General features: G+C 57.9%; 1 pseudogene; it reads left to right on the top strand.

The window, feature by feature from the left end:
* Positions 1–10,637, top strand: LOC102724191 (chondroitin sulfate proteoglycan 4-like; annotated as a pseudogene).

Here is a 10,637-nt window from a genome sequence, read left to right as displayed (position 1 = left end):
ATGTTTCCCTTTGGGCCAGGTCGGGGAGCCAGACCTGGGAGGGAGACTCCTCTGGGGCCCAGGGGAGGTGAGTCAGAGCTGGCAGAGGCCTCTGGCTCCAGGAACCTCCAAGGAGGAGACCTGAGTTGCTGGGAATTTCTGGGTCTGACCTCCTGCCAAGTCAAGGTCTGGGCTGGACACAAGGTGAGGCTGTGCCTTCTGGTGCCAGGACCAAGGAAATGCTGGGATCTGGGCAGTGCTCAGAGGCAGCACCGTATGGCAGAACCATGAGGGTGCACCAGCACGGACCCCTTTCTGCAACCCACCCATCCCTCCCTGCAGCACCTCGCCTCCTCCAGGCAAGAATCTGAGCCTTGACCACAGCTCCCTCTCTCACACAGCTTCCTTCTTTGGTTAGAACCACCCGGAGGTGACTGTGGCCATGGCTCTGACTGACATAGACCTGCAGCTGCAGTTCTCCATGTCCCAACCCGAAGCCCTCCTTCTCCTGGCAGCAGGCCCAGCTGACCACCTCCTGCTGCAGCTCTACTCTGGACACCTGCAGGTGAGTGACGTCCCCCTGGGATTGGGGCGAGATTCCTTGTCTAGCTTTGAGTGAACCCCAGCTGGCTGTTGACCTTGTGTAAGTCACTTTTCTTGGGGTCTCAAGTTCTCCACTGTGGGATGGGCAGCAGCAGCTCAGAAATGGTAAATCCTTCATGAACTGGCTCTGCCCACCGGCTCCTTCCAACCATGTTTCCCACCACAAGCCCTCACTGGCCCTTTGTGCTCTGACTACACTGAACTGCTTTCAGTTCCTGGCCATCTTATGGTCACTTGCAGCCAGGCCTTTGGTCATCACACTCCTCCTGCCAGGTGTGTGACCCACCCATTCCCTGTACCTGCCGAACTCTAGTCTCTCCTTGAAGTTTCAGTGTGGGCATCCCCTCCTCCTCGGCGAGACCCCCTCCTGGGCCCCCATGACCCCTGCGCATCCTGGTGGCACTGCACCAATTTATCTGCAGCACCACTGTCTGTCCATGAGAGTAACAGCACCAGTACTGCCTCAGCTTCATTTTTCCATTTCATCCTTCAAGACACCACAAGCTTTATTATCAAGGAGTCTTGTGGCTCCTACTTGAGTCTTACCCCATACCAGGAAGAGTTTAAGAACCCAGGGTCTTAGTCCAAATTTGGGGCAGGCTGGGTGCAGTGGCTTATGCCTATAATCCCACCACTTTGGGAGACCAAGGTGGAAAGATCACTTGAGCCTAGGAGTTCAAGACTGGCCTGAGCCACACAATGAGACCCCATCTCTATTTTAGAAGGAAAAAAAAAAACAAATTAACAAATTTGGGGCAGCCATCTCTTTCCACACCCCAGTGGGAAGAGGACTAGGGCTTGGTCAGTCTGCTGCTGTCATTGCTGCTCATTGCCACAAGGTGTCACTGTTGAACACCTATGTGGTGCAGTCTGGTGCTGATGGCTGCTGAGCTGTGCAGGTAGTGATGCCACATCCCTACAGAGATGCACCATACCAGGACTCCAAGATCATGGTTCTTAGTGTTCTGGTTCTGCAGTTCCCATACTCTGCCATCACCTATTCTAGCATCTGGGAGCACCATACCAGAGCCATTTCATGTGTCAATGTCATGGTGACAGAACTATGTCCTTCATCTCTCCTTGAGATATTCCTCCACCACAGGTCAGGCAGCTTTTTTTTTTTTTTTTTTTTCCAGAACACAGAGCATCTGCCTGGGCTCCCTGTCCCTGAACAGTTAGCCTGGCTTCCTTCAGTGACCTCGAGAAACTTTGCCAAACTTAGGGGGACTGATCAACGGATTCTCAGTTACCCATTATTCCAGGGGTGAAATCTAGATTCCAAGACAATATTTCTGGTGCTTCTCACTCAAGGAAAGAGGAGGAGAATTTAAAAATACAGGTTGGGTTTCTAGAAGAGCATCTTGCTATATGTCAGTTCCTTGTGGGCAAGGACCACATCTGATTCACACCAGGGTCCCCAGAGCCCATCCAGGCCTGGCCCAGAGTTTCCTTTGGTGAGTGTTTGGAGGATGAATAAAGAGATGGCAGGAAGGCAAGAGGAGTGGCACCAGAGGCCCTTGTCCTAGGTTTTCTGCTCTGGGGCCCCCTGTGGGGAACCCACTGTGCTTTTATAAGGGAAATGATGGATTCAAAGTGCTGCCCCCCATCTCCCATTCCCCGTCTCTCCTCAGGTCAGGCTTGTCCTGGGCCAGGAGGAGCTGAGGCTGCAGACCCCAGCAGAAATTCTACTGAGTGACTCCGTCCCCCACACCACAGTTCTGACTGTCTCAGAGGACTGGCCCACATTGTCAGTCAATGGGTTTCTGAATGCCTCCTCTGTAGTCCTGGGAGCCCCCCTAGAAGTCCCCTATGGGCTCTTTGTTGGGAACACTGGGAGACTTGGCCTGCCCTACCTGAGGGGAACCAGCCATCCCCTGAGGGGTTGCCTCCATGCAGCCGCTCTCAATGGCCGCAGACTCCTCCAGCCTCTGACCCCCAATAAGCATGAGGGCTGTGCTGAAGAGTTTTCTGCCAATGACGATGTGGCCCTGGGCTTCTCTAGGTCCCACTCTCTGGCTGCCTTGCCTGCCTGGGGCACTCAGGATGAAGGAACCCTGGAGTTTACACTCACCACACAGAGCTGGCAGGCACCCTTGGCCTTCCAGGCAGCAGGCTGGCATGGGGACTTCATCCATGTGGACATATTTGAGGGCCACCTGTGGTCCATGGTTGAGAAGGGCCAGGGTACTGTATTGCTCCTCAACAGTGTGCCTGTGACTGACGCACAGCCCCACAAGGTCAGCATCCACATCAACATTCACCAGCTAGAAATCTCCATGGACCAGTACCCCACATGTACTTTGAACCGAGGAGTCCTCAGCTACCTGGAGCCACGTGACAGTCTCCTTCTTGGGGAGCTGGTGCAGAGGCCTCTCGTCACCTCCAGGAACACCGCTCAGGCCTGACACCAGGGGCTGCCAATGCCTCCCTGCTGGGCTGGCTGCATGGAAGACCTCAGTGTCAATGGCTAGAGGCGGGGGCTGTGGGAAGCCTTGCTGACGCACAACATGGTGGCTGGCTGCAGACTGGAGGAGGTGGAGGAGTATGAGGACAATGCCTATGGCCATTATGAAGCTTTCTCCACCCTGGCTCCCGAGGCTTGGCTGTCCGTGGAGCTAGCTGAGCCATGCGTGCCTGAGCCAGGGCTACCTCCTGTCTTTGCCAATTTCATCCAGCTGCTATCAGTGCAGTGGTGGTGACCGAGGGTGGCACAGCCTGGCTTGAGTGGTGGCATGTGCAGCCCATGCTGGCACTGATGGAGGCTGAACTGCGTAAATCCCAGGTGCTGTTCAGCGTGACCTGAGGGGCACACTACAGCGAGCTCGAGCTGGATGTCCTGGGTGCCCAGGCATGAAAAATGTTCACCCTTCTGGACGTGGTGAACTGCAAGGCCCGCTTCATCCACGATGGCCCTGAGGACACCTCTGACCAGCTGGTGCTGGAGGTGTCAGTGATGGCTTGGGTGCCTATGCCCTCATGCCTGCGGAGGGGCCAAACAGACCTCCTGCCCATCCAGGTCAACCCTGTCAATGACCCACCCCACATCATCTTCCCACATGGCAGCCTTATGGTGATCCTGGAACACACACACAAGCCTCTGGGGCCTGAGGTTCTCCAGGCCTATGACCTGGACTCTACCTGTGAGGGCCTCACCTTCCAGCTCCTTGGCACCCCCTCTGGCCTCCCCGTGGAGCACCGAGACCAGCCTGGGGAGCCGGTGACTGAGTTCTCCTGCTGGGAGTTGGAGGCCGGCAGCCTAGTCTATGTCCACTGCGGTGGCCCTACACAGGACTTGACATTCCGGGTCAGCAATGGACTGCAGGCCAGCCCCCCGGCCATGCTGAAGGTGGTGGCTGTCCAGCTGGCCATACAAATCCACCGCAGCACAGGGCTGCATCTGGCCCAGGGCTCTGCCATGCCCATCTTGCCTACCAACCTGTTGGTGGAGACCAGCGCCGTGGGGCAGGATGTGACCGTGCTGTTCCATGTCACCGGAGGCCTGCCGTTCAGGGAGCTGCAGAAGCAGGGGGCTGGTGGGGTGGAGGATGCTGAGTGGTGGGTCACACAGGCGTTCCACCAGCAGGATGTGGAGCAGGGCCACGTGAGATACCTGAGCACTGACCCACAGCACTACACCGAGGACACCGTGGAGAACCTGGATCTGCAGGTGCAGGTGAGCTGGGAAATCCTGAGCAATCTGTCCTTCCTAGTGACCATCCAGAGAGCCACTGTGTGGATGCTGCAGCTGGAGCCACTGCACACTCAGAACACCCAGCAGGAGGCCCTCACCACAGCCCACCTGGAGGCCACCCTGGAGGAGGCAGGCCCAAGCCCCCCAACCTTCCACTGTGAGGTGGTTCAGGCTCCCAGGAAAGGCAACCTTCAACTACAGGGCACGATGATGTCAGACGGTCAGGGCTTCACCCAGGATGACGTACAGGCTGCAGAGGTGACCTATGGGGCCATGGCACGTGCCTCAGTGGCAGTGGAGGACACCTTCTGTTTCCATGTCACAGCTCCACCATATTTCTCCCCACTCTGTACCTTCTCCATCCATATTGGCGGTGACCCAGACATGCCTGTCCTCATGGTGCCCGAGGGTGGTGAGTGTGTCCTCTCTGCTGACCAGCTCTTCATCAAGAGTCTCAACAGTGCCAGGTACCTCTATGAGGTCATGGAGCAGCCCCGCCATGGGAGGTTGACTTGGCGTGGGACACAGGACAAGATCACTATGGTGACATCCTTCACCAATGGAGACCTGATGCATGGCCAGCTGGTCTAGCAGCATGATGACTCCGAGATCACAGAAGATGATATCCCATTTCCTGCTGCCACCAGGACCAGAGCAGTGGTGACGTGGCCTGGGAGGAGGTATGGGGTGTCTTCTGAGTGGCCATCCAGCCTGTGAATGACCACGCCCCTATGCAGACCATCAGCTGCGTCTTCCATGTGGCCTGGGGTAGGTGGCGGCTGCTGACTACAGACAACATGGCCTTCAGCAATGCTGATTCGGGCTTTGCTGAGGCCCAGCTGGTGCTGACCCACCAGGACCTCCTCTCTGGCAGTATCATGGCCACGGATGAGCCCATGCAGCCCATCTGCCGCTTCATCCAGGAGGGGCCTCAGGAAGAGGCGAGTCCTGTTCACACACTCAGGCTGACCACGGCTGGATCCCGCTGCAGGTGTCCGATGGGCAGCACCAGGCCATCACGGTGCTGGAGGTGCAGGCCTTGGAGCCTTACCTCTGTGTGGCCAATGGCTCCGGCCTCATGGTTCCTCAAGGAGGCCAGGGTACCATCAACATGGCCGAGCTCCACCTGGGCACCAACCTCAACATCTGCAGTAGGGATGAGGCCCACTACCACGTCACAGACAGCCCTCACTGGGGACAGTTGCTCCAAGCCACTCAGCCAGCCACAGCCTTCTCTCAGCAGGACCTGCTGGTTGGGGCTGTTCCCTATGGCCACAATGGCAGCCTCAGCTCCTGCAACACCCTGGCCTTCTCAATGGATGTGGGACCAGTGCACACAGATGCCACCCTACAAGTGACCATTGCCCTAGAGGGCCCAGTAGCCCCACTGAAGCTGGCCCAGCACAAGAAGATCTACATCTTCCAGGGAGAGGCAGCTGAGATCAGAAGGGACCAGCTGGAGGTGAGGAGCTGGAGGTGGTGAGCGGGGTGTGGACCAGGTAGAGGGCCTTCCTCCCAGCCTCCATGCCGGGAACACATGTGACTTGGGCTGTACCTGTGGTGGTCCCAGCTTGCGTGTGTGCACGTGCCTCAGATATGCTCCCATATATGTTGTGTTCCCAAGAGTTTCTGGGGAGCTTGCTGTACACCCATCCTCCTGGGAGTGGTGTGTGCCTCTAGAGCTGGTGCCCACTCATGTCCATGGCATGGCTGAGCATGCAGATTCCTGGACGCCACCCAGCCCTACAGAATCTCTGAAGTGGAGCCCGAGAATCTGCATTGCAGTCAGTTCCCTGGGAGGGCATCACGGGTCCTGAACTTTTGGGATTGCTGGCCGTGGAGACAGGCCGCTGCCTCTCAGACCCCTGTGTACCCCGCTCTCTTCTCAGAGCCCAGACCAGGACCAGGAGGGTCTGTCAAGGGCTTCTGCTTACCCAGGAACCTCACAGAGCAGCCACGGGCCTTCCAGAGATCTGACATGCCCTGTGACCTCAGGCCAGTCCTTGCCCGCTCTCAGCCTTACTCTTCCACACTGCTTATTTCGGAGACCCTTCTGGTCTGCATCTGGAGCTTGGGGCCCATGGTGAGCCAGCAGATCTGGCATCAGGAAGGCCTCATGGGAGGAGGCAGTGTTTGGGCCGGGCTCTGAAGAGTACAGGCCATTAGGAGCAGAGAATGGGGAGTGGTATTCCATGCAAAAGGAACATTCCGGCCGAAGGCACAAAACAGGAATGTGAGTTTGGAGGCAGTTTAGCCTCTTGTGGATGGCCCATCAGGTGAGGGAGCCCATGTGGCCTTTGGGGTGTGAGCTCTGTAGGGCCTGTGCTGGGGGTGCCTGTGCCTCTAGGAGGGGTGGGGTGGGGTGGGGCAGGGCACCCTCTGATGGTCCTGGGTGGTAATAGCAGGGGTTGGGGAGGATGCTGCCAGCAAACCAGCCACAGGCCTGAACAGATCCTGAGCAGGGGGCCTGTGTGCGTGTGCACACACGCATGTGTACCTGTACCTGTGTGACTGCATCGGCATCTGATGAACTCATATGTCTGTGTCACTGAGTCTGGGGACATGTGATTATGCACTTCCCTGAGGGAGTGCATCTCAAGCTGTGTGACCGACACCCCGTAACCATGTGTGGGGTGGGTATTAACATGTGACCAGCTGGGGCAACCCAGTGAAACCCCATCTCTACACAAAACATTTAAAAATTAGCCAGGCATGGTGGCACATGACTGTGGTCCCAGCTACTTGGGAGGCTGAGCCCTTGAGCCTAGGACGTTGAGGCTGCAGGGAGCTGTGATCACACCACAGCACTCCAGCCTGGGTGACAGAGTGAGACCCTGTCTCAAAAAAACAAAAAATATGACCAGCTGCATGTCTGGCTGCTGTGTGTGTGAACCCACATGTGTGTGTGTCACTAAATGAGCAGTGGTATCTGGGGAAATAAGTGGAGCAAGATCAAGGCTGTTCTGGCTGCTTAGGGCCACAGTGGGCCCCTCTGAGACCCCTCTGCGCATTCCCTTGTGAGTCCTCATGACCTCTGTTAACCAGGTAGCCCAGGAGGCAGTGCCGCCAGCAGACATCGTTTTCTCAGTGAAGAGCCCACCGAGTGCCGGCTACCTGGTGATGGTGCTGCGTGGCATCTTGGCAGATGAGCCACCCAGCCTGGACCCCGTGCAGAGCTTCTCCCAAGAGGCAGTGGACACAGGCAGGATCCTCTACCTGCACTCCCGCCCTGAGGCCCGGAGCCATGCCTTCTCGCTGGATGTGGCCTCGGCCTGGGTGCTACCCTTGAGGACGTCACGTGGAGCTGGAGGTGCTGCCTGCTGTCATCCCCACTGGGGGCACAAAACTTCAGCAGTAGAGGGGGCACAGTCGCAGCTGCACCCTGGCCCCTCCACTGCTCCGCGTTGCCAGGTCCTACTTCCCCACTCTCCCGGGCCTTGGCCTGCAGGTGCTGGAGCCACCCCGGCATGGGGCCCTGCAGAAGGAGGATGGGCCTCAAGCCAGGACCCTCAGCACCTTCTGCTGGAGAGAGGTACGGCTGTGAGAGAGGCCCAGGGGCTGCAGCCCAGCTCTGGGGGCAGAGTGGAGGGAGCCCCGGGGACTCCCAGTCCAGGGGTTATACAGAGAGGAGACAGGGAGTCACATTTCAGAAAGACCTATGCTTTAGATGCTGTATCTCGGGCTGGGCGCTGTGGCTCATGCCTGTAATTCCAGGACTTTGGGAGGCCGAGGTGGGCAGATCAGGAGGTCAGGAGATCAAGACCATCCTGGCTAACACGGTGAAACCCTGTTTCTACTAAAAATACAAAAAATTAGCCGGGTGTGGTGGCCCGCACCTGTAGTCCCAGCTACTCAGGAGGCTGAGGCAGGAGAATCGCTTGAATCTGGGAGGCAGAGGTTGCAGTGAGCCGAGATCACACCACTGCACTCCAGCCTGGGCAACAGAGCGAGAGACTCTGTCTCAAAATAAAATAAAATATCCCCTTTCTTCCTCACAACTCCTCTGGGAACCAGAACTTATGGTCCCCATTTTCCACCAATGGAAGCTGAGGCCCTAAAAGGGTCAGTCTCTTCCTGCACCCAAAGGCAGAACATGAAGGGTGCTGCTGGGGTCTGACTGCCAGCCCTGGGCCTGCCCCTAGGTGGAAGAGCATCTGATCCAGTACCTGCACGATGGGAGCAAGACACTGACGGTTTTGTCCTGATGGCTAATGCCTCTGAGATGGACCGCCAGAGCCATCCTGTGGCCTTCACTGTCACCATCCTGCCTGTCAATGGCCAACCCCCGACCTCATACAAACTCAGGCCTGCAGGTGAGCATATTCCTGGGACCACCCCCAATGTCTGCTTTGAGAAAGAGGCCAATGTCCCCTACTTCCCGGCACAGATCTCCCCCCCTCTGAGCCTCAGTTTCCTCCTCTGCAAAATGAGGACACTACTGTGTGCCTCACGCAGTTGTTGGAAGGAGAGATGTGAGATTGTGCTGAAATAGAACACAGGCGGGAGGTTTTGTTATTGGACATTTGCAAGTACGGCAGGCAGACTTCTGAGCAGCCAAGGGTGGCTCTGCTGTTCCTTCTCCTGTGGCTTAGGACCAGAACACCTGAAAGAATCACTTACAAGCCCTTAAGGGCTGGCGTCAGGGTGGGACCGTTAAGCTTCCCACCTTCACCCCAGCAAGTGAAGGCCTCAGCTTGGCTTCCCAAACTCCTGCCCCTTGTCCACAGCAGAGCAGGGCCCCCATTTGGCAAAGGTGGAAGTTGAGGCCCAGACATGGGATGGAACTTCTCCATGATTGCAAAAGTAGTTCTGGTGGAACAGAAAGGGCATGGCTTTACTAAGCCCAAGTGGCAGGGCTTTGAACCCCAGCTTCTGGGGCGCGTCCTCCCCAGTCAGCAGAAGCCACTGAAGGTTCCGCAAGAGGGCTGACTTGGGCTGTCTCTGACATGGGGCACCGGGGGGCTTTGGTGGTCTAGGATGTGCCTGTAGGGGGTGGCCTCATGGTGCGGAGGCCACAGAAGAGTGGGACACAGCACCCTGGAACCACAGGCTGGGATGGCTCTGTGGCAGTGCGGCCACCAGGTGGTGCCATCTACCCGTGTTTGTTCCGGGAGCCCAGTGATGGGGCCCTGCCTCCCACAGTATGGCCCCTCTTGCCAAGGCTCGGCCTGAGGGCTCCCTGCGGCCAGGGGAGGAAGCCCAGGAATGCCAGAGGGCTGTTTTCTGGGCATGTGAGTCCCACTGCAGCACTGCCCACAAGTAATTGACCCAGCAAGACTGGTACCAGGACCTCAGGAACGGGTGCCTGTTCTGCTTGCTAGTGGGAGGCCTGAAAAGGGGCCCCCTTTGCCCAACACGAGGAGGGCCCGTAACTGCTCTGGAAGCACCTGGGCCCATCCCAGCACTGCTTCTGTGCTGCAGGACAGTGCCAACCATCAGGCTTCAGCTCTCTGCGCCTCCCACCCCTCCCTTAGCTGGAAGGAGTGCTCGTTTCTAAAATCACTGTTCCCACCTGTGCCCAGCCCCTGCCAGGCACACATGGAGGGTCTGAAAGGAGACTGCTGCCCCACCAGTGAGACAGATTAAGGAGCACTGTTGGTCAGCGCTGGGGGTTTCTGGGGGTGAGAACTTGGTGAGGGTAAGAGCTAGGGCCTTCCTGGGTTGGGTACACAAGCTGGTCTTGAGGGACACACAGGACTAGGACAGATGAAGAGCAGGGATGCTGGGCCTGGAGGGTGGCCTTCCCTGGGGTGACAGGGAAGGTGAATGCAGGGAGGCCATTTGTGCAGGGGAGCCACAGCAGCGCCAGCCTTGATGCCACCTGAGGGCCTGAGCCTCAGTGGGGTTGGAGCCCTGGTGGCAGCCCAGGGCCGGGGAGGAAGGGGTGGGTAAGTGTGGCAGGGCAGAACCTTCACAGGCCTGTGTCCCCAGACGTGGGAGGGGGCCACCGTGCCCATCCCTACAGAGGCTCTGAGGAGCATGGATGGTTACTCTGGGCCCAAGGACCTGGTGTACACCATTAAGCAGCCCAGCAATGGGTGGGTAGTGCGGTGGGCGGTGCCGGGCACTGAGGTGCGCAGCTTCATGCAGACCCAGCTGGATGGTGGGCTCGTGCTGTTCTCACACAGAGGTGGGTGCTGAGGGCCGAGCCCCAGGTTTCTGCTGCCCACGGGGGCACCCTGAGGTGGGGAGCCAGTTCAGGCCAGCTGGACCCAACACCCTTGTCCCCAGGGGCCCTGGACAGAGGCATCCACTTTGGCCTCTCTGACGGTGAACATACTTCCTCCAGACACTTAGCTTCTGAGTGACGGCCCAGAAGCAAGTGCTTCACTCGCTGGAGGGCAGCCAGACACTGACTGCCCAG

This window comes from Homo sapiens, chromosome 15 (assembly GCF_000001405.40).
Source record: "Homo sapiens chromosome 15, GRCh38.p14 Primary Assembly".
In the NCBI taxonomy this organism is placed as follows: Eukaryota; Metazoa; Chordata; class Mammalia; order Primates; family Hominidae; genus Homo; species Homo sapiens.
The sequence above is the reverse complement of the archived record's forward strand: the minus strand, read 5'-3'. Positions and strand labels throughout refer to the sequence as shown.